The sequence below is a fragment of the Homo sapiens genome, chromosome 1 (genome assembly GCF_000001405.40).
Source record: "Homo sapiens chromosome 1, GRCh38.p14 Primary Assembly".
Taxonomy (NCBI): domain Eukaryota; kingdom Metazoa; phylum Chordata; class Mammalia; order Primates; family Hominidae; genus Homo; species Homo sapiens.
The window spans coordinates 182,519,785-182,545,098 of record NC_000001.11 but is presented as its reverse complement, the minus strand read 5'-3'; the positions used below and the strand labels follow the sequence as shown (position 1 = coordinate 182,545,098).

General features: G+C 37.0%; 1 protein-coding gene across 15 annotated transcripts in view; it reads right to left on the bottom strand.

Annotated features, from left to right (window-relative positions):
- RGSL1 (regulator of G protein signaling like 1) overlaps positions 1-25,314 on the bottom strand; it is a 112,721-nt gene that overhangs the window by 15,499 nt on the left and 71,908 nt on the right. For 14 of the 15 annotated variants that reach the window (XM_017001193.3, XM_017001191.1, XM_017001192.3 and 11 more), the window contains 6 exons: positions 22,990-23,095; positions 17,327-17,520; positions 14,738-14,855; positions 14,189-14,309; positions 12,308-12,437; positions 4,678-4,852 (listed from right to left, as the gene is read on the bottom strand). In XM_017001193.3, the coding sequence (XP_016856682.1) occupies positions 4,678-4,852; positions 12,308-12,437; positions 14,189-14,309; positions 14,738-14,855; positions 17,327-17,520; positions 22,990-23,095 (844 nt within the window). Of the gene's footprint in view, positions 1-4,677; positions 4,853-12,307; positions 12,438-14,188; positions 14,310-14,737; positions 14,856-17,326; positions 17,521-22,989; positions 23,096-25,314 lie in introns of those variants that run through there. The other variant, XM_011509500.2, reaches the window with a different exon arrangement.

Below are 25,314 nucleotides of genomic sequence, written 5' to 3'. Positions count from 1 at the left end.
CTTAATCACAAAGGAAGACAGTAAGAAAGGAAGAGAGGAGTTCAAAAACAACCAGAAAACAAGCAACAAAATAGCAGTAGTAAGTTCTTACTTATTAATAAGAATGTTGACTGCAAATAGACTCAATTCTCTAATTAAAAGACATATAGTGGCTGAATGGATAAAGAAACAAGACCCAACTACATGCTACCTACAAGAAACCCACTTCAGCTATAAAAACACACATAGACTAAAAGTGAAGGGATGGAAAAAGATATTCTATGTGAGTAGAAACCAAAAAAAGAGCTGGGATAGCTATAGTTATATCAGATAAAATAGGCTACAAGTTGAAGACTCTAAAAAGAGACATAGTTATTATATAATGACAAAGGGGTCAATTCAGTAAGAGGATATAACAATTATAAATATCGATGCATCCAACATGAGAGCACCCAAGTATATAAAGCAAACATTAAAAGATCTAAAGGGAGAAAAAGGTTGCAATACAATAATAGCAGGAATTTCAATACCCCACTCTTAGTAATGGACAGATCATCCAGATAGAAAATCAACAACAACAAAAAATTGCAGTTAAACTACACACCACACCAAATAGGCCTAACTGACATTTACAGAACATTTCACCCAACTGCTACAGAATATACAATCTTTTCATCAGCACATGGAACATTCTTCAAAACAGACCACAAAACAAGTCTCAACAAATTTCCAAAAGTAGAAATAAAATCAAGAATCCTATCTGACCATGATGGAAAAAAACTAGAAATCAATACCAAGCAGAACCTTGGAAACTGTTTCCTACAGTATATGGAAATTAAAAAACATGCTCCTGAATGACCAATGGGTCAGTGAAGAAATAAAGGAGAAAATTTAAAAATTCCTTGAAACAAATGAAGATGGAAATACAACATTCCAAAATCTATGGGATACAACAAAAGCAGTACTAAGAGGAAAGTTTAGAAAATAAATACTTACATCAAAAAAGTAGAAAGACTTCAAATAAACAACCTAATGTTGCCCTCAAGGAACTAAAAAACAAGAACAAACCAAACCCAAATTAGTAGAAAGAATAAAATATTAATAATACCAGAGCAGAAATAAATGAAATTAAGACTAAAAATACAGAAGATTAATGAAACAAAAAGTTAGTTTTCTAAAAATATAAACAAAATCATTAAGCCTTTAGCTAGACTGATAAAGGCAGAGAGAAGACCCAAATAAATAAAATCAGAAACAAAAAAGAGACATAGTCATCAGAGATTATGATGTACAACTATACACCAACAAATTGGAAATCCTAGAAGAAATGAATAAATTCTTGGACGCATAAAAACTACCAGGTTGAATCATGAGGACATAGAAAACTCAAATGAACAGATAATGAGTAACAAGATTGAAGCCATAATAAGTTTCCCGTCAAAGAAAATGCCAGGACCTGATGGCATTAATTCTACCAAAAATTTAAATAAAAACTAATATTACTTCTGCTCAAACTCTTAAAAAATTTAAAAGGGAGAATACTAAAAACTCATTCTACAAGGCCAACATTGACCCAATACCAAAACTAGAGAAGGATGCAGCAAAAAAAGAAAACTACAGGCCAATATCACTGATGAACACAGATGCAAAAAGCCTCAACAAAATACCAGCAAACCAAATTCAACAACACATTGAAAAGATCATTCACCGTGATCTAATGGGATTCATCCCAGGAATACAAGGGTGATTCAACATACGCAAATCAATAAACATGATATATCACATTAACAGAATCAAGAATAAGAGTCATATGATCATTTCAATAGATGATGAAGCATTCAATAAAATTCAACATCTCTTTATGGTAAAAACCATCAACAAATTGGGTATGGAAGAAATATACCTCAAAATAATAAATGCAAATATAGGATAAACCCACAGCTAACATCATATAGAATGGGGAAAAATTGAAAGTTTTTCCTCTAAGATCTGGAAGAAGTCAAGGATGCCCACTCTCACTACTCTTATTCAATATAGTAGTGGAAGTTCTAGCCAGAACAATTAGGCAAGAGAAAGAAATAAAGGGCATTCAAACTGGAAAGGAAGAAGTCAAATTAGCCTTGTTCACAGCTGACATAATCTTATCTTTAGAAAAACCTAAAGACTTCACCAACAGCCTATTAGAACTCAGACATTCAGTAAAGTTGCAGAATAAAAAATCAACATGTGAAAATCAGAAGCATTTATAAACACCAACAATGAACAATCTGAAAAAGAAATCAAGAAAGCAATCTCACTGACAATAGCTACAAAAAGCATAAAATACCTAGGAATTAACTTAAACAAAGAACTGAAAAATATATACAAGGAAAATACTGATGAAAAAATTGAAGAAGACACACACAATTGAAGTATATTCCATGCTCATGGATTGGAAAACATAATATTATTAAAATGTCTACACTAACCAAAGAAATTTATAGATTCAGTGCAATCCCTATCAAAATACCAATGGCATTCTTCACAGAAATAGAAAAAAAAATCCTAAAATTTACACGGAACCACAAAAGACCCTGAATAGTCAAAGCAATCCTGACCAAAAAGAACAAAGCTGGAGGCATCACTCTAGCTGACCTCAAAAGATACTACAAAGCTATAGTAACGAAATCAGCATGGTGCTGGCATAAAAACAGACACATAGACCTGTGGAACAGAATAGACAATTCAGATATAAATCCATGCCTTTGCAGCCAACACACTTTTGACACAGGTGGCAAGAATGCGCAATGGGGGAAAGGACCGTCTCTTCAATAAATGGTGATAGGAAAACTGAATGTCCATATGCAGCAGAATGAAACCAGACACCTATCTCTCACCATATACAAAAATCAAATAAAAATGTACTAAAGGCTTAAATCTAAAACTCTGAAGCTACTGGAAGAAAACATTGGGGAAACATGGCAGGACATTGGTTTGGGCAAAGGTTTTTGTGTAAGAAGCATAGGGAGCCAAAGCAGAAACACACAAATGGATCACATCAAGCTAAAAAGCTTCTGCACAGCAAAGGAAACAATCAACAAAGTAAAGAGACAACCCTCAGAATGGGAGAAAATATTTGCAAACTATCCATCTGACAAGAGATTAATAACCAGAATATATAAGGAGCTCAAACATCTCAATAACAAAAAACCCAAATAATCTGATTTTTTAAAGTGCAAAAGATCTGAATAGACATTTCTCAAAGGAAGATATACAAATGCCCAACAGGTATATGAAAAACTGCTAAGATCACAAATCATGAGAGAAATGCAAGTCAAAACCACAACGAGATATCATCTTACCCTAGTTAAAGTCGCTATTATCAAAAAGACAGGGAATAACAGATGCTGGTGAGCATGTGTAAAAAGGGGAAACCTTGTACCTGGTTGGTGGCAACGTAAATTAGTATAGCCACTGTGGAAAACAGTATGGAGCTTCCTCAAAAAGCTAAAAGTAGAACTACCATGTCATCCAGCAATCCTAATACTGGGTATATATCCAAAGGAAAGAAAATGAGTATGTTGAAGAGATATTTGCACTCCCATGTTTATTGTAGCACTATTCACAATAGCTGGAATATGGAATCAACCTAAGTGCCCATCAGTGGATGAATGGTTAAAGAAATGTGGTGTATACAGATACACAATAAAATAGTATTAAGCCACAGAAAAGAATGAAATCCTGTCATTTGCAGCAACATGGGTGGAGCTGTAGGTGATTATGTTAAGTGAAATAAGTCAAACACAGAAGGACAAATATCACATGTTTTCACTCATATGTGGGAGCTAAAAAAGTGGATCTCAGGTAGTTACCAGAAGCTGGGAAGGGTAGGGGGTGGGGTGATGAAGACAGTTTGATCAAGAGGTACAAATACACAGTTAGATAGAAGAAGTAAGACCTAGTGTGCAATGGCTCAGTAGGGTGTCTACAGTTAATAATCATCTATCGTACATTTCAAAATATCTAGAAGAGAGTAATTTGAATCTGTCTAGCATAAAGAAAAAATAAGGAAGATGATGGATATCCCGATTACTCTGATTGATCTTTACACATTATATGAGTATATGAAAATATCACATACATCTCCAAAATATGTAAATCTATTATGTATCAATTAAAAAATTAATAGACAGCTTTTGGGGTATAGTCTATACAAGAAAAATTTACAGACCTCCCATTGTGGATTGACTTTGGCTTTACATAAAAAATTTGACAGGTGAAACAAAATTGACAGGTGAATTAATATACACTAATATGTCTTAACTTAAAAATATCTGTTTAATGTCATACAGACACACACACAATTTGTATTATTATAATTCCTGGCTTTGACTAAAGAATATTGGTCTCATGGTGTTATATAATAGGACTTTTTCAAATTTGTAAATAATGGAGAAAAACATGCTCCCTTTTCTGGGACTAAGTAACTGCATTTTAACAGTGGAATTTCTGGAATACTGAAGAGCTTTTAGCACCCAAAGAAAAGAAAGGTGGAAATCAATTGAGTGGCAGCATTCAGTAAGATTTTCAGAAGGAGAGACTCTTACTGGACAGGTCTGAAATCACTGTATCTCTAACAGATCAAGCCAGTTTCTGCTGGGCAGTCCTAAGGATGAAAAGTCATTTTCAGGGCAGAAGAAGGAGAAGTGGAAAACTTACTTCTCCATTTCAGAAAAGAAATATAGATCATTGATCGCAAAGTTGACAGTGATAATCCTGTGGCCAAATATACGACGCTTTACAAGGGTTATTTCTCCATTCTCTTGGTCTGCACTCCGGACATTTGTGGAGGGTGGAGCTGAACGTCCCGATGTGTTGTGTGCTGTGGTGAAATCTGAGAGAGAAAGAAGAAGGAATTACAATTTTGTTTGATCAAGTCACTCTTACCCTCAACCTGGGCATAACAAAAAGAAGAAAGGAGACTGTGGATCCATCCTTTTGGCCTACTGAAATAGTCACTTACTGCCATTGGGCTCAACCTTTTACTTGGACTTGAAAAAGTCATCTACTCAGATAGTATGACAACACACATAAAACACAAGTCAACTGAGCACCGAAGGTGCTTATCTAATAGAAATAGAAGCACACCACAGTTACGCTAATCCCTAAGGTTTCTGCAGAGACTGAAAATGAAACACGAGATGTGACCTTCCAAATGGAGTGTGTAACACTGATGATGCTTACTCAAGTTTTATCAGGAAGTAATTTAGGAGCAAATGAGGAAAGCAGCACAAAGAAAAAGTCAAAATATCAAGAGTAAAGAAGTTTACTAAGGAAACTGAGGGTAGAAAGCTAGAGTACAGAAGAGACTAACGAGTAAAGGAGAGCACAAGAGCCACTAGAAGATTTGGATTGTGTGTCAGAAAAATAGAATGCTTCCTTTAGAAAGTTTCTTGACTAGATTATATGCAAAGACATCTATTCGTAGGGATTCAGGTCTGAGAAAAGAACAGGTATGGGCTGGATCTGACAAATGGACCCTAGTTAGTTATCTGGCTGGTTTCAGAAAAATGTCTAATCTGGCTCTAGAATTTACCATTCTGCCTGCAAATCCTTTATTCTGGAGTGCTGTTCAGGATTTATTGAAGTGGGTGTGGTGCTCCCTATGGTGTAGGTGGGTTTCCTTTTGGTTTAGTGTTGTATATAGAATGGGAGGGTAACTACAAGAGTCCATAAATACCTAGCACTTGTCATGTCTCAGACACTGTGCTTGACCCTAGGGTTACCATACTGAATAAGACGTAAGATCCCTTTCCTACTATCTTTCAATCTTTCTCTCTTAGACTTGAGTTTGAAGGGAAAAAAAGTCTAGATAACAGTGGAAATTGATATGATGGTTAGGGATTCTGGGAAAAGAGGGTGATAAATTCACCAAATAAACCTGGAAGCCATGGGATGCTTGTAAACTGGCTCTGGTGGTAGAGGGGGAGACCTAATTTGTATTATTCACTGATTTAGATAGTAAATATTCTCACTGTAATAGATTTTTGGCTACTGACATTTGTTGAGTAGCTCACAAAATTTCAGGATATTTAACAGCTGGCTCTTACCAATCAGTATGAGCAGCTCCAGCTCACTATTACCTGGGAATCATATTTGACTTCTTCCTCTTTCCACATCCAATTAGTCACCAAATGCTGTTGATTCTACTTTCTAAATATATTTCAAATGTATCTACTATTGGTCTTTCTTGCAGTGACATTTGTTTAAAGCATCATCATCTTTCATTTGTTCCAAAAGCCGCTTAAGTGTTCTCGGGGTCAGGACTAGGTCCCTGACCTGCTAAGGTGAGGGAGGTGCCTAGGACACAGTTTAAGGAAGCATTCACTATCAACATGTTACAAGTACGGGGTTGGCATCTGCATGAGCCTGACAGTCAGTGCCTCCTTAATTTTTGTGTGTTATATGCCTCCCTTGCCTTACCCTAGTTCCAGCCCTGACTGTGCTTCCTACACTTAATTTTGCTTTTGTGTAGTATATTCCCTACATTACAGTCAGGATGATCATTCTAACTTGGCTACAGTTACTAATCTGCTGAATTTTTTTTTTTTTTGAGAGGGAGTCTCACTCTGTTGTCCAGGCTGGAGTGCAGTGGCACGATCTCAGCTCATTGCAAGCTCCGCTTCCTGGGTTCAAGCAATTCTCCTTTCTCAGCCTCCTGAGTAGCTGGGATTACAGGCGTGTGCCACCACACCTGGCTAATTTTTGTACTGTTAGTAGAGACGGAGTGTCACCATATTGGTCAGGCTGGTCTCGAACACCTGACCTCTGGTGATACACCCACCTTGGCCTCCAAAGTACTGGGATTACAGGCTTGAGCCACCAGCCCCAGCCTGCTGAAACTTTTTTATCGGAACGTCCACTTTTGTCCAAGATAGAGTACCAAGAACTGGATTTATCCTCCCTTCCGAAACGATTTTTAAAAATCAGACAAAATATATTGAAACAGTTTTTAAGACACTGACTGTCAGAGAATTAAGGACAGTGATCACTGAGACTTGGGAAAAATGAGTGAGCCCTACTCTTGCCCCACTTTACCACCTTGAGGTAGGATCCATTCCACAGTCAGGGAGGGAAAACCCAGGTCAAGTTCAGTGGACTCTCTGAATTAAGGAGATGGACCTGAGAGTCCAGTGAGACCAATGTGGCTAGAGTTTACAAGACAGAGTTCAAAGAGGAGAGGGAGAACCTGGAAATCTGCAGAGGTTCCCTCAAGTACTCAGCAGAGTGCTGACCAGCTCAAGATATGAAGGAAGTACCCAAAGCTTGAGGGTAGGGGATCTGAAAGCATTAAAGAACGGTCCTTGGTGCTCACACAGAAGCAGAAATAGTGCCTGTTTCCACCGAGAGACTAGAAAAACTCATAATTTATGAGGAATCTAGTAGAATACCAAGGAAGGTTTTACCTCAGTAGTGGAGAATAGCCATACAAATAACATGGCTCTGGATTCACTTAACCAATCATAAAAAGAAGATCCAAAAGAATAAAACTGTTTTCGAGTAACTTAACTGTATCCCAGAACAAAGTTCAGGCATATTTTATAGGAAGACAAAAATATCCAACACCTAAAAAGATAAAATTTACAACGTCTGGAAACCTATTTTAAGGTTCTTATACTATGGGTTGAATATACTTTATCTGAAATACTTGGGACCAGAAGTGTTTCAGATTTTGGATTTTTGGAATATGTGCATATACACAATGAGACATTTTGGGGATGGGCCCCAAATCTAAACACGAAATTTATTTATGTTTGTATACTCCTTATACATATAGACTTAAGGTAATTTTATTTTTTTCCTTGGGGACACTGAATAAATTTTGTATTGTGCCCCTCCCTGCATTTTGACTGCAACCTGTTACGTGAGGTTAGGTGTGAAATTTTCTATTTGTGGTGTCATATCAGTACTCAGAAAGTTTTGGAATTTGGAGGATTTCAGATTTTGGATCTTCAAAAGACACTACTTAAAAAATCAAAAAGCAAGCCATCAACTGAGAGATATATTTTCAAAATATGTCCATCAAAAATATATCCAGATTATATAAAGAATTCTTATAACCCAATAAAGGCCAAGACAACAAAGTTTTTTAAAAATGGGCAAGAGATACGGACAGACACTTCACTAAAAAACGCACTGTATGTATGGCAAATTATATGGTTTGGCTGTGTCTTCACCCAAATCTCATCTTGAATTCCCATGTGTTGTGGGAGGAACCTGGTGGGAGATAATTGAATCATGGGGGCAGGTCTTTCCCGTGCTGTTCTCATGATAGTGAATAAGTCTCACGAGATCTGATGGTTTTAAAAAGGGGAGTTTCCCTACACAAGCTCCTCTCTGCCTGCCGCCATCCACGTAAGATGTGGCTTGCTCCTCCTAGCCTTCTGCCATGATTGTGAGGCCTCCCCAGCCACATGGAACTGTGAGTCCGTTAAAACCTCCTTTTCTTCCCTGTCTTGGGTATGTCTTTATTAGCAGTGTGAAAATGGACTAATATGTCAAGCAAGCACATGAACACATACTCAACATCATTAGTCATCAGACAAAATAAAAATTAAACTAAAACAAGATACTATTACATACCCTCTAGAATGGCTAAAATTAAAAAGACAGATAATACCAAAGGTTGGTGAGGATGGGGAACGGTTGAAACTTTCATACATCAGTGGTGAAAATGCAAAAATGGTACAATCACTTTGGAAAACAGCTTGGCAATTCCTTATAAAGTTTAACATATACTTACCACATAACCCAGCATTTCTACTTTCAGATATTTACCCAAAAGAAATAACATATGTCCATGCAAATACTTCTGCTTGAATATTCATAGCAGGGTAATTCATAACAGCCCCAAAGTGAAATCAACCCAATATGTAACAATTGGTGAATGAATAAACAAATTGTGCTATGGTATAATGGAATACTACCCAGCAATAAAAAGGAATGAGTTACTGATATATGCAATAGCATAGACGAATCTCAAAAGCATCATGCTATGTAAAAGAAGCTGGTCACAAAAGACTATTGCATGCATGCATTAAGACTACTGCTTGATTCCATTTATATGAAATTCTTTAAAAGATAAAACTGTAGTAATAGAAAGCAGGTCAGTTGTTGCCAGACCAGAGAGTAGTAGTGGAGCGGGGAGGGTGTTGATTAAAAAGACACATAAAGGAATTTCTTGTGATGAAGCAAGTATTCTATATCATGATGGCAGAGATACTTACATTCATCAAATTGCACAATTAAAATTAGTGAATTTTACTGTATAAAATTGTAGCTTAAAAACTGATTCTAAAAAGTAATTTAAAAATAAACGGGAAGAAAAGAAAACAAAGCAGCAAGAATGCATAACTCTTGAGGATTTTTGTTCAAAAGGGAAACAGACAAATGTGCCAGATAATTTGAGGGGAATGTAGAATCAGGGAGAAATTATTATTAATTTTTGGTTGAGAGGCACTATGCCATATTTGGTGCCGATTGAGTAATCCAGTAGAGAAAATAAAAATGATGCAGGAGAATAAGCAAAAATGGATGAATGCCCTTGAGTAGATGAGGGTCTGGATGCTTCCCTAGGAGAAAAGGACAGGCAGCCTACTCAGTGACCAGAGCCTGTGAATACAGAGGAGGCTGACCAAGTGATTCAGAGGAGGGAAGCTGTAAAACTCCTCTTTTGATTGCTTCTGTTTTCTCAGATACCAAACACACACACACTCTGGCTTAAGAAAATCAGTAAGATTAATGGAGTGGAAGTTCCAATGGGAATCAAAGTTTGTTTGAGGCAGGAAACTATAGAAAGAGTATGAAAACACATGTACATTTTAAAAGGCAATAGTAAAATAAATGCTTGTGTTCAAGATAGGGGTTGCATCTGTGATGGGTAAAGGGGGAGTTCTATTGAAGAGGGGCACCAGGTGTCATCTGAGTTATGCCATTTTCTATTTCTTGGCTTGGATGATGGGTATTCAGCTGCTCATATAGTCACTTATAAGTATGCTATATTTCAAATAAAAGAACTTAGACCAGTGGCAGGCTGAGTGTCACAAGCTCTTCCCTGCATCTAAGGGGAATTGGAAGTCAGGTAGACCTCCTATTAAATTGGATAAGTATAGTTCTTGGGTTCTCACATAATGTTGGGGAAGTGGAAAGTCAAAGAATGATGAAACAGGACTTCCTACCATTCTGGGGCATGAGGGCTTGAGCTGGTTTTATTTAAAAGAAGAAACAAAAGATCTAGAACTTTTTTTTTTTTTTGAGATGGAGTCTCGCTCTGTCACCCAGACTGGAGTGCAGTGGTGCAATCTCGGATCACTGCAACCTCTGCCTCCTGGGTTCAAGTGATTCTCTGGCCTCAGCCTCCCGAGTAGCTGGGATTACAGGTGCACACCACCACACTCAGCTAATTTTTGTATTTTAGTAGAGATGAAGTTTCACCATGTTGGTTAGGCTGGTCTCGAATTCCCGACCTCAAGTGATCCACCGGCCTCGGCCTACCAAACTACTGAGATTACAGGCGTAAGCCACCGTGCCCAGCCTGCTAGAACTATTATTGAAGCCAAAATATTTTATTGTGAAACAGTTCATAAAAGATAATACAAACTTTTTTCAAATTAAAATAAATGATATTAAAATACCAATAGAAAAATAGACAAAGGGCATAAACATTCAAGAAAGAATACAAATGGCCAATAAATAAAGATGCTCAACTCCTAAAGAAGTATAAATAAGAATAGACTATCTGGCACATTATTTTTCATTTACCAGGTTGGCAGTTTTTAAAATGTACAACACACTGTTGATGAGAATGCGAGGAACCAGACACTAGTTTATATGGTTGGCAAGAGTTTAAATTACTGCAATGAATGTTTTTGGAGGGCCAAAATTTAACTGTTTTTAACCATTTACCCATCATTCCCATTTTAAGGAACTTGTTTCATAGAAACACACAATTGCAAAATATGTATCTTTTGCAGCATTGTTTAAGTGAAAGTTGGAACAACCCAAATGTCATCAAGAGAGTCATGATTTGTCACCGCCTATCCTTCCAGTCTCATCTCAAGCATTTGCCCCATCTCATTAATCTCTAGTCCAACTGGCCTGATGGCAGTTTTTGAATTGCACAGTCCTCTTTCTTATTTTATGATTCTGTGCATACCTAGAAATCACTCTCCTCCCATCCCACCTACCTAACTTGGTCATTTCTGAAAACTCAACTTTATGTCATTTTCTAGGAGACATTTTCTCTGGCCCTCCTGCCTTGACTAATAGGATCTCCCTGCAATTATCGCCGGGATCACTCATCACAATTATATAATAATAGCAGTAACACTAGCTAACCCTCTTATAGCATGTGCTATTGCCAAGCATAGTTCTAATAACCCTGTGAAATAGAAACAATTCTCATTCCCATTCTATAGATGAGAAAATGGAGATACAAAGTAATTTTCCCAAGGTCCTTCAACTAGGAAGTGACAGATTCAAATCTAGGCACTCCGGCTCCAACATCTGTGGCTTGTATTTTCTGTTTGAAATCTGTAGGTGCCACAGGGCAGATCCTCTGCTGCAGGCTCACTACTGTTCACTACTGTATCTCCATCACCTGGCAAACTGCTTGCCTCATAGTAGATTCTCAAAACGTGTGTTAAATGAATGAATGAATGAGTGAAGCTGTTGAATTAATCCATATAATGGACATTTTATGGCAGTCAAAAACAAGGCAGATATATGTGTACTGACATAAAATGATGTCCAAGATACATTGTTGAACAAAAAAAAAAAAAAAAAGAAGCAAGTTACAAATCAAATATGTGGCATCAATTTTGTGGGAAAAGTAAATATTAAGATACATATACAGAAAAATAATTAGGAGGTAGGTTTACAAGCATTAACAATGTTATCTCTTGAGGGACTTTCACTTCTATACTATATATTTCTGCAATTTTTATTACCTCTTTATTAACAGCATGTATTAATTTATAAGCAGAAAAATTTTGAAAATAATTTTTAAAGAGCAAATTCAAAAACATAAGGAAATTATTTTGTAAAATGTGAGATTTTGCAGTACCTTAGGTTACTTATTCCCTACCCTTGCTGGCTCCTTAAGCAGAGGCCTCTGGTCTTGCATCCTCTCTAGGAAGGCCTGGGCCTGGCTTTGCACACAGGACCTGGGTTTTTTTGCTAGACTCCAGGCTGCCGCAGGCATGACACAAAGCAATAAGCTTCTTATGTGGGCTGACCCTCATGGCTAAAATATCAACAGGGAGTGGGGGTAAATACAGAAATGACTTACTTTCCTTGCTATTTTGCATTTCCTGGTGAAGATAGTCTTCAAATTCCTGGCGCTTACTAGGATTCAACATAAATCTGCGGTACTTGCAAAAACTCCTGATAAAGCTGATCATTCTCATCCAGCCTTTCTTCTGGGGAAAGAAAGAGGAGTATAACATGTTCATTAGTATGGTTGCTGTTCACCGAGAGTCTACTGTGTGCCAAAACTTGGTATTCACTACATTTAATCCTCACAACACCTCCGTAAAGGAATAATTTTTAGCTCCAATTTAAAGGTGAGGAAACTCAGGTTAGAGAGCTTGTACAATCTGCCCGAAATTAAGTAGCTGGTCAGTGAAAGATTCCAGCTTCAACAGACTGGAGCCATTTGCCCATGCTCCTTCTACCAAAGCCTTTCAACAGTGAAGATGTGAGATGCCGTGATTGGGAGAGGGAGCATGAGAGCTAAAAACTGGAAGAAAAGAGGACAGAAATAAAGAACTAAAGGCTCAGGCAAATTTGGAAACATTGAAGGAATAAGGAAATGAGCAAAACCATTTCTAAGCACTTAAAAAAGAAAATATAATTATTTGCACCCACTCATACACCTACACACACACACACATACACACACGAATTTCATAAGTTTCCTCATCTGTTTTTTATAGGTACCCAGGAACCACTGTACATTTTATTTGTCCTTCAAGAAATTGATACTTAGAGCCAGAAAGACTCTTGTTGATTAACTAGTTCAGTTGTCTCAGTCTACAGAGAGGGAAACAACATAAGCCTCGCTTTAGACAGAAAGCAGTGAAGTACAAAAAGCACTGAATTTAGGATAAAAAACTTTGAGTCTGGAGCTTAGCTTCTCAGAACCTAATTGTGTAATTTGGGTCAAGTTACTTAACCTATGTCTCAATGTCTCCATGTGTAAGATAGAAACAATAGCCTTCAGGGTTGCAGTGAGACTTATATGTAAACCCCAATGCAATGCTTGGCAAACAGTAGGCATTAAGTACATGTTGATTTCCTTTTATCTTGTTTTCTAGGAACAACTGGAAGCTCTGAAATTAAATCAAGTGCACTGGTTCTGGGTACAGTAATCTTTTTAGTAGTCTATATGACCATTCGTGGTGCCCTGACATGGAGTTTATTCATATATGGAGGAAATACAGAGGAGAAAAGGAAGAGTAACACATTTTCATCCCTGAGTATTGGATCAATGGACTTAGGTATTATTTTCCGAGATATCTTAGAATGATCTCTGGAGTCAGATCAAGCTGGGCTAAAATTTTTCTGATACTGACCAACTCTAAAACAAGTGAATCTCTAAGGGGGCATGTATTTTTTTGTTGTTGTTTTTCTCAAACCATAGAGACTTTCCTGAGTAACATTCCTGTCCCCTCTTTCTTCCTTTTTTCTGTTCTCCCATAGGAGAAAGAATGAGCTAGATAGTTTGAAAGAAGGAAATGGTGTTCTCAGCACTTTGCATTCTCTCTCTGGTTTGTTTGTCTGCAAGACACTTGCTACAAGCTCACCTTTTGTTATACAGTAAGAGGCTCACCCTGGTAAGTGGAGGTCTAAGTTGTTCCGTTAGACCAGTGACTGGGTTTGTAAGTTTAATTTGGGTGCAGAGGACCAGCAAAACCACTTTGCTTCATTGCCAATCCATGTCCTCTACACTAACTTTCAACTAGAAGAACTCCATGTGTCCAACCCCTGTACCTATTACTCAGTTGACTCTAATCACAGGTAGAGAAGAGAGGGACTTGCTTAAATTCCTAGTATAGTAATTTATCTGAGTCTCAGATTCTTCCTTTGCAAAATGGGGATTTAAAAACCTACCCCCAAGACGATGGTTTTCTTGTCTCTAATGTCTTGTTTCACTTTCTTCTTCACTAACCTGGGATTCCTGTAGGTAAGTTGACACTATCTTTGAGGGCTTCCTAGACGAAATTTGTACTTCACTTTGCACTTCCACCTCCTGATGGTGAGGTGGGAACAGGTCTTGATAATCTTTAAACCTGTCAGAAGGACATCAGTAATATCAAACAGGGCAAAAACCTGGCACATAAAAGATGACAGTCCAGGCAAACCTACCTCAGCTTCTGGAGGAACTCTCAGTGGTAATTGGGGAATAGTAAAATACTAAAAAATTCTCTTCTTACTCTATCAGACCTTTGTTAATGTCAACCTAACCTTCCTGATCAACACTGTATTGTTTCTTGTTAATGCAAACAAACAGAAATGTGTGTGTGTGTGTGTGTGTGTGTGTATGTGTGTGTGTCAGATAGATAGGTAGGAAAGTTCAAGATAAGTTTGAATTTTTATTTTGTAGAGAGGCTCTGGCAATGAGCTATGAAAATGGATTAGGAAACCCTTGATGCATATGGCTTTCAGAAGCCAAGGAGCAACTCCAGGAAGAATCCTTTCCTTAATTGAGTATACTCACCACTTTTCTTCTATAGATTTCATAACATGTCCCTGGAGCGTTAACAGTGTGCTTGTGGTGACATGACGCATGGAAGCGATTTCTTTGATAATAGGGGCATCACACTGCAGCATTTCTTCTAGAAAATGCAAGAGAGAAAAGAAGCTGTAATCCTCATCTACCATTTCTGAGATAGCTGGTGGTTTTTTGTTTTTTTTTTTTATCTTAGAGTCTCACAGCCCCCATTTTCAATCTGGCTAGACTCTGATCCCGCCATAGTTTGTTTGAAAATCTCCAAAGCATATTTGAAATGCTATGTACAAATGCATTTGTAAACTAAATACTTTCCTCATTTAGTTTCATTCAAATTTGCAGGATGAGTGCTTAAGGGGAAATACATTTTTAAAGGACTTATTTCTGCAGCTGGTTTGAAAAACTTGGATTTAGAGAGACAGCAGAAGGGTAAAGGATTATAGTTAAATTGCTGGGCAGACGGGGAATCCAAGATTCCAGATAAGTATTGTGAGGGCAGTTTGTTTCTCCAGTTGTTCAGAAACTGCTGTGTTCATTAATGAGACTTGAAAATAATCAAAGATAGGATCTGGACACTCTTCCTCTTCTAGCTCATTCAAAATATTGTACAGATCTCAACATCCTGAGATTCAACAAATAAATAATGCTTACAAATAAAGATTCATTAATTTGACCTATTTTTCTATATTTTCTATATTCATAAAAATTTATTTTCTTATCTTGGTTTACTACAAGCAAAAACCAAACACACAAAAATACCATCTGTGACAAAACAGGAGGCTCTATCTTCATTACTTTGCATTATTTGCAACTTCTGCTTTTGGCCAAGATTTTATTTACCATATTTACCCTCCCACCTTAGGAAACAAAATAAGACACAACTTATGAAACAAAGATTTTCAGGCATACAGTTCTCCTTCCCAGTACAACTCTCTTCACAATTCATGGGTGGTGGATATTCCACCTTTGCAGGCAGCTAACTCTTGGTTTTTGTATCTAACTTCAGGCTAGTTGGTTTAATGGTCAAATGACTTGAATTTGAATTCAAGTTCTACCAAGTGTACAAGCTAGTTAACCTCTCTGTGTTTCCTTTACTTCATTAGTAAAGTGGAGCTGCCTATCCCTATATTACAGGGATTAAATAAAATTCTATTTTTAGAATTAAATAAAATTAAATGAAAGGATACATGTGAAAGTATCTTAGACTTGGCTCCTTTCACTAGTGATATAGTTTGGCTCTGTGTCCCCACCTAAATCTCACCTTGAATTGTAATAATCCCCATGTGTCAAGGGCAGGACCAGGTGGAGATAATTGAATCACGGGAGTGGTTTACCCCATGCTGTTCTTGTGCTAGTGGGAGAGTTCTCATGAGATCTGATGGTTTTACAAGGGCTTCCCCCTTCGCTGGGCACTCATTATCTCTCTTGCCACCCTGTAGACAGGTGCCTTCCACCATGACTGAAAGTTTCCTGAGGCCTCCCCAGTCATGTGGAACTGTGCGTCAATTAAACCTCTTTTCTTCATAAATTACCCAGTCTCAGGTATTTCTTTACAGCAGTGTGAGAATGGACTAACACAGTAAATTGGTACTGGGAGTTGGGCTGTACCCTGTAAAGCCACAAGGGTGGAGCTGACCAAGGCTGTGGGAGCCCACCTGTTGTATCAGTGTGACCTAGATGTGAGACGTGAAGTCAAAGGAAATCATTTTGGAACTTTAAGGTTTAATGACTGCCCTACTGGATTCTGGACTTGCATGGGAATTGAGCTCCTTTCTTCGGGCCAATTTCTCCCTTTTGGAATGGGTGTATTAACCCAATGCCTGTATCTCTATTGTATCTAGGAAGTAACTAACTTGCTTTCGATTTTACAGGCTCACAGGTGGAAGGGACTTGCCTTATCTCAGATGAGACTTTGGACTTGGACTTAATGCTGGAATGAGTTAAGACTTTGGCGGAATGTTGGAAGGGCATGATTGTGTTTTGAAATGTGAGAACATGAGATTTGGGAGGGGCCGGAGTGGAGTGATGTGGTTTGGCTCTGTGTCCCCACCCAAATCTCACCTTGAATTGTAATAATCCCCATGTGTCACGGGCAGGACCAGGTGGAGATAATTGAATCATGGGGGTGGTTTCCCCCATGCTGTTCTCATGATAGTGAGTGAGTTCTCATGAGATCTGATGATTTTACAAGGGGCTTCCCCCTTCATTTGGCACTCATTCTCTCTCTTGCTGCTCCATGAAGAGGTGCCTTCTGCCATGATTATAAGTTTCCTGAGGCCTCCCCAGCCATGTGGAACTGTGAGTCAATCAATCCTCTTTTCTTTATAAATTACCCAGTCTTAGGCATTTCTTCACAGCAGTGTGAGAACGGATTAATACAACTCGTATTAAGACTTTGAATTTATTATTACTGTTCTCTGCTTTTGCCTACCCTCTTAATCTGTCTCAATATTGCCCCATGTGGCTGCTGCTCTGTACTGCTCTCTCTGGGGGCTCACATGAGGTAGGCTATTTCCCAGGCTATTCTCCTAAGACACTAAAGAGAGAGAGAAAACAGGATCAGAAGAGGATGCATACCAGGAGAGAGTTGGCCTTGGAAGAAAGTCTTGATTACATTTTCTATGAGAGACTTGCAAATCTTTTCATTGGTCTCTATACTGATCTTCTGTACAGCTGTGAGAAATTGCAATGGGATTTTAGCCTTCCGTTCCTTGAGGAACTCCCTGAAGAACTCCAAGTGCTGTGTATTTAAGAGGACTTCTGTCAAGTTTCTGGAAAACAAGAAAGCATCTTTGGTAGAGAGAAAGGAATGATGATTCTGGATTCTGTTTCAATTAGGAAATGGGGAAGTGCATTGACCAGGCTATAAGGCCTTTAGCCATATGTGAAAAGCATTGTGGATGGATTGGCTAAATCTGTCTATTTCTTTGGTGATTAACTTGAACTTTTATGTACCATTTCTAAGCTTGGTCCAATATCTTCCTTCCTAATGGAAGATGAAGGAAGGAAGATATTTTAATGAGGACAATTTTTTCAAGGGAATTCTCTTTTTACATTATGGGTTCAAAACGACTCCTAATTAGCAGTCATTTCTGTGAGGTGGAGCATGATTAGCAGTTTTTGATTAATGTTTCTAAATTTCCTTTGCTGATTTCTTCTTTCACTGCTCCTTGAATAAAGGTGCCCCTAATGTTTCATCTTTAATCCTCTATTCTTTTGCCTTATGGTTTTTCCTGGGTAATCTGTGCCTCCTCTGTGATTTCAATTTTTATTGATATGAGGAAGTGATTTTAAATTTTATTAATATAGCAAAACTATATCTCCAGTTCCCATGAACTCCACTTCTACATTTCAACTGCCCACGTCAAACCTCATCTTTATGTTATAGTTATTAGTTAAACCTCTTTACAAATACCCACATCTTGACCTACTTCTTCTTCCTTTATACACCTATTTCATTAAGTATAATGTTAGCCATAGATTTTTAATAGATGCCCTTTATCAGAATGAGATAGTTCCCTTCTATTCTAATTTTATTGAGAGTTTTAAAAATCACACATGTGTCTTAGATTTTGTAAAAGCCTTTTTTTCTACATCAATTGAGATAATCATGTGAATTTCTCCCCCCTTATTTTATTAACATGGTGTATTAACTGGTTTTTGCATTCCTTGTATTCCTAGGATAAATTCCACTTGGTAACCCAGGCTGAAGTGCAGTGACACGAACACAGCTCACTGAAGCCTTGACCTCCCAGGCTCAAGTGATCTCCCTGCTTAGCCCCCAAGTAGCTGTAACTACAGGTGTGCACCACCATGCCCTGCTAATAATGTTTGTGTTTTTTTTTTTAGAGACGGAGTTTCACCATGTTGCCCAGGCTTGTGTTAAACTCCTGAGCTCAAGCAATCTGCCTACCTCAGCTTCCCATAGTGCCGAGATTGTAGGCATGAGCCACCATGCCTGGCCACTGATCTTTTTTATATATTGCTGGATTTGATTTGCTAATATTGTATTGAAGGTTTTCATATCTAGAAACTAGAGGGAGTATTGGTCTATGGTTTTCTTTTCTTATGATGTCTTCAGTCTGGCTTTGGGATCAGGAAAATACTGGCCTCATAGAATAAGTTGGCAAGTGTTACTTCTTTCACTGTTTCCTCAAAGAGTTCATGGAATATTGACATTATTTATCCTTTAAATATTTCATAGAATTCTCCAGTGAAGCTGCCTGTGCCTGAGTGTTTCTATGTGAGAAAATTTTAATTACTAATTCAATTTTTTTCTTATTATAGATTTATTCACATTTTCTACTTTTCCTTGAAACATAGCTAGCTTACTTCAATAATTTGGGTATTTCTAGAAATTTATGTATTGCATCTAAGTTGCCTACTTTGTTTCTTGCATTTCCTTACAGTCTTATTAATTTTTGCAGGGCAGTGATTATATGCCCTCTTTAAATCCAGATTTTAATTATCTGTGTCATCTTTTTTCCCCGTGGTCAATATATCTTACAGTTTAACAATTTTATTAATCTCTACAAAAAACTAACTTATTTACCTGGATTTTCTTTGTTTTTCTCTTTATTTTATGTATCTACACACTAATAGTTATTATTTATTTTCTTTGATTTTACTTTAAATATGTAATCTCACTACCTTTGGTATCATTGTTTCTGATGTGAAATAAACTTTAATCTTGCTGTAGTTCCCTTGAATATATGTTCTTTTTCTCCTGCAGCACTCAAGATTTTTCTGTCTTTATATTTCAACAGTTTGATTGTGATGTGTCTATGTGTGGATCTCTATGATTCTTTTGTCAACTTAAATCTGTTATTGATTGCCTCTAGTAAATTTTTCATTTCAGTTATGTACTTTTCAACTCCAGATTTTTTCATTATATTTTATAATTTCTATCTCATTATTGATATTCTATATTTGGTTAATCATTATCATCATACCTTCCTTTAATTCTTTACACATGATTTTCTTTAGTTTGTTGAACCTATTGCTTGGAAGTCTTTAGTCTAACATCTGAATCACCCTAGAGAGAGTTTCTGTTGACTGCCTTTATTCTCCCTGTGGATGGACCATACTTTCCTGGGATTTTTGTTTGTGTGTGTGTCTTATAATTTTTTGTTTAAAGTTGAATTTGGGATAATATATTATCACAACCCTGGAGTCTGAATTTACACCCCATCCCTCATCCACCAAAGGTTGCTGCTGTTGATGGTTTTGTTTGCTTTTTATGTTTCGCTTTTTGTTAAATGACTTATCGGGCTAGTTCTGTAGAGTATATCTCCCCTAAAGTGTGTGGCTACTAAAGTGTCTGCTCAGTTTTTTCTCTTTTTAATTCTTATTTTTCTTTTTTATACTAGTTTTCAGGGCCTCATGATCACCCAATGATAAATAGATAACTGGGTTCCTCTTCGGTCTCTCTTGAGCATCTGCACAGCATTTGCACAGTCCCTTGGGAATATCTTGCTCCCAGATTTCCCTTTTTTACTTTTAAATGTTTTACTGCTTGCTCAACTAGTATCACTGCCTTAAGTGGCTGTGATAGTGGCCTCCCAATTTTTTGGCCACAAGGCTTACTATCGGTTTTGACAGTGCTCCTGGTCATTGGCTTTTTTGTGGAGCTTCAAACCATATCAGTGCCCTCTGTTGGCAGCAAGATGGCTGGCACTCATGGCTGTCAAGCTTGGTGATGTGAGTAGTTAGAAGTTACTATGCCACAGATTACACTATTCTTACTGAGGTTTGGTAGTTTTCTTGGATAAGCAATTTTTTATTTGTTAAATGCCTTCCGTTAATTTACAGAGTTCTGAAATTCTTTTTGACTGGTTTTCCCAGTTTTACTTTTATGGAGAGACTACTTAGAATGTTCTTGCTCTACCATTCCAGAAGTCTGATTTTCTCCCTTCATTGCTTTGTACATCTGTATTTTCCCTTCCACTTCCACTTGCACTGTTTACCTCAGATCTTTATCATTTGCCTGAACAACTGCAAAGACCTTCCAACTATATTATCTCTGCCTTCAACCTCTGGATGTCTGACTCCTTATATACTCTCATTTCTGTCAGACTAATATTTTAAAAATCCATATAGTAGATATTTCTGCCACCTGCTGCTCCAACAAACCCCAAAGAATCCCCTTATTGCCATTTAATCAATGCGAATTCCTTAATAATCTACCCAATACCTTTTTCTAATTATTTGGTCTCAGTCTGGCTTTTTATGTTTTATGTCCCTTCACCGCATGCACTCTATACTTCAACATCACTGGACTATTTTTAAGTCTTTGAATATTATGTTTATATTCATGAGTTTATAGCTTTGTGTTGTATCTTCGCCTTTGAGTAGGGTTTATCCCTACCTACAAAATACTCTAATTTCTTTGTAATTGAATTTGCATATGTTATTCTGAGCATCTTCTGATATTCTAATTTTCCTGATCCTCACTCAAAATTTCTCTCTCCTTTCACTCCCATAGTAATTAGCTAATATGTTATCATAACATTTTAAGGTCAGCCTTGCATTGTCTTTAGTTACATAATTAGATTAAGGGCAAGGACTATGTCTTAGTTTTTGTATCATTAGCACTCACAGAGTGTCTAGAATACAGTATATAATCAATAGTCATTTACTTATTGAATAAGGGGTAGGGAAAAGGTTTAAGAGAATTGCAGCTGTGGTATCCCTGAGCTATTCTGCTTGGTCTTAACTGAAGTCATGAAACTAGATGATATGACCCTGATATGTCTTCTAGGACTTAATGATCTTACAGATATGTGATTTAAGACTTCTGTGGTATTCATGCTTAAGTAAATTGGAAAATAAGTATTTCTACAGGCATAATGGAGACCAGTGACTAGGACAAATTAGAAAAGCAAAAGTGACAAATGATTGAACCTCAGAGAATAATTTCAGTTGCTGAAAGGGAGGAAGATCTATCTAGAGTGGTTAGAAGAGACAAAAGACTTATCACCCTCAATGAATGTCATCAATAAACGAAAACATTCTTGGCTGGGTACAAATGCCTGTAATCTCAGCACTTTGGAAGGTTAAGGTGGGAGGATCACTTGAGCCCAGGAGTTTGAGACCAACCTGGGCAACAGGGCAAGACCCAGTCTCTAGAAAAAAAAAAAAAGAAAAAAAAACAGGCATGGTGGCATGTGCCTGTAGTCCCAGCTACTCGGGAGGCTGAAGCACGTGGATCACTTGAGCCTAGGGAGGTCGAGGCTGCAATGAGCTGTGATTGAGCCACTGCACTCCAGCTGGGACACAAAAAGTGAGACTCTGTCTCAAGAAAAAAAAATTAATTAAAAAAAAGAAAATGTTTTGTGGGAGTTTTTTCTACGCAAAATATTCTGCCAGAGATTTTGACTAGCAAATGTATATGTTCTACTATATCCTCAACATCTAGAAGAGGACCTTTTATATAGCTAGCCATTATAGATAGATAATAGATAGTAACTGAATAAAAATGAATACATGAGTAAGTGAATGCCATGGCCTACAAGAAAATTATAGTCAAGTCAAGAAGTTGGAAAACATACCTAAAAAGTAAAGACCGGTAAAAAGTAGTACATATAAATGCTTGATATTGTACTTTAGACCTTTAGGGTTTCAGAAGAGAAGGAAGTTATAGCAAACATAATATTTGGAGAAATTTTTATGTATAGGTGGCACTTATGCTAAGGTACATGGAAAGAAAGGTGGGTGGGCACTCCTGAAAGAAAAGGCCACAGAGTATTTGCCTAGTTGTGGGACCTTACCAGAGTTTGATTCTCAGATTGATTATAAGTGGAGAGAGACAAGAAGTAAGGAACCAGTTAGGAGGCTACTACAGCAGTACATAATCCAGAAAACACAAACAGGCAAAGAAACATGTATAAAGATGTTTATTGTGATACTATTTATAGCAATTAAAAAATTAAAGACAATGTAAATGTCTATATAAGTTATACTACACTCATGGAAGGAGGTAGATCTGCACATACAGACATGAGATGTCTATGATAGTTTAAGTTTGAAAAGTTATTGTATAATATATACATATATAGCATAGTGCTAATTTTAGAAAATAAATGATTTAAAATACTAAGAGTGTCTGTACCTGTATGTATTGTATATGGAAAAGGGTCTGAAAACCTACACATAGAAAGATAAGTTTACCATTAGACATGTTGAGGTTTTTCAAAAGCATGTACCTGAAGATGTTGCTGTAAACAGATTCTATATCTCACCTGGGTCTCATTGATGGCTTCCTTACAAGAGTTCTTTTGAGCAAGGACATTTTCCTATTTGAGCGTGAAACTGTCTTTGTTTCCTTGATAATTTCCATTTTAAAATCTAAAAAAAAAATCACTAAGTTGGAGAACACTATATTATAAGCAATGAAAAGGGAAAAACTAGCAAGGATATTTTTCAGACATAAAGTTCATGTGAAAAAATCCCTGTCCCCACAACTGCTGCCATCTCAGGTTAAGTTCATCTAGTGTTAAGAACAGACTTAGGGATGACTGATACCCCTGACATGAACATCAGTCCAGGTTATGTTATATAAGTATGTTGGCCTTTAAGTCTAGCGCCCACCTTCCTCAGAGAGATTGCCTCTCTCCTCGTTACATTAGTTAATGTCAAATGTCAGGCCTCCTCCAACCAGCTGCTTTTACTAGACCATATTCCACATGACATTCCGTCTTCCTTGACACTGCTATTGTCCTATCCTAAATCTTTCCACTTGTCCCCTGGAATCCCTGCTTTGTAATAAGCAAACTTTCACAGATGCTTGACTTCTTCTTTTAAGAGTTCCCTCCATCTTCTTGTTTTAATAAAAACCATTTTCTTTCCCACGGACACTGCTTCCCCTGTAAGTTTCTCAAATGATATTCTAGCACACCATGCAAGTTCAGAATTGGTGTCTGGTTCCCTATTGCCATTTAGAAACCATTATTCTCCCAAATATATCAAAATATCATTATTGCCTGGGCACAGTGGCTCATGCCTATAATCCCAGCATTTTGGGAAGCCAAAGTGGGAGGATCACTTGAGGCTGGGAGATTAAAATCAGTCTGGACAACACAGTGAGACTCCATCTCTACAAGAAAATTTAAAAATTAACTGGGTGTGGTAGTATGCACCTGTGGTCCTAGCTACTTGGAAGGCTGAGGCAAGAAGATCAGTTGAGCCCAGGAGTTTGAGGCTACAGTGAGCTATGATGACACCACTGCACTCCAGCCTGGTCAACAGAGTAAGACTCTGTTTATAAAAATAATTTTAAATAATAAAAACAAAACTTTATTATTGAAGAACAATAGATTTCATGGATCTCAGTATTATAAGAGCCCTTTGAGGTTAATATTGCAGAAGAAAACATAGACTATGAACTCATCAAGGGCAGAGATGGTGTATTACTCATCTGACTTACAGAAATTAGAACATGACCTAGTTATATAGTCATTGTTTTAAAATGGTTTTTAAATAGAATGTACCCACACAGGAAACTTGTGTGTAGTTTGGCAATACTTTCAGAAAGCATACAGAAAGTATTAAAAGCAATAGAAATATATGTTGGATCTAAATAAATGCAACTAAGTGAAAAAAGAAAATCTAGACTATGGAAGACCAGATATAAAATAAACAAATAAATAAACAAAACAAAGCAAAACAAAAACCCTCCCAATACAAAACACCTAGAAATACTGCATAAAAATAATACACTTTCAAAGTGAAAGTAAATTTATAAAAAATTAAGACAAAATCAATATATAGAGGTTAGAAACAATGAGGATACTAAAAACCAGGAATGTCAGTTTATAACAATACTTTAGCCACCCTAAAGGCATTTGCAGTGTTAAAGTCACAATGGGACACAAGACAAAGCCATAGGTCTTTAGAAAATGGGCAAAACATTGGATATTGCTTTTATTCTTAAGACATTTGACAATTATGTAAACAAATTGCTACTGGGGAATTTAGCAGAGCTTTTGGCAGATTCTCAGGACAGAAGGGGGCAAAAGGAGAAGAGGCCCTGATAAACACCTCAAACTTTCAGTTGGAACTCCAAAGACTAAAGAAAACAATAAATAGTTCATCATGAAGGGAATGAGAACTAGCTTTGAAACAACTTAATCCCTGAGTAAATTAAGGTTATCTGGATGCTACTAGTTTAGTGTATGTCAGAAGTAAAAATCTTCTCTGGAGGAAAATAACTTCATCCGGAGGTTCAAATTGGCTCTACAAATTTTCACCAATGATGTTCACATAAATCAAGCAGAAATAACAAGATATTTTAAAAGACTTCACCAAAAACCAAGGGGGGAAAATGGCACTTGAAATAAGCACAGAAAAGTCAAATATGAACTTTAAAGTGACTATTATTAATATAATTCAAGTAATTATAAGACAAAGGAAAATATCAAAATAGACAATATTATAAGAAAATGTAAATTCTAGAAATAAAAAGTTTAATGATTATAAGTAAGAAAAGTAACAACTAGTAGATGAGTCGAATGACAGATTATACACAACTAAAGAGAAAATTGTTGAACTAGGAGTTAGATGCAAAG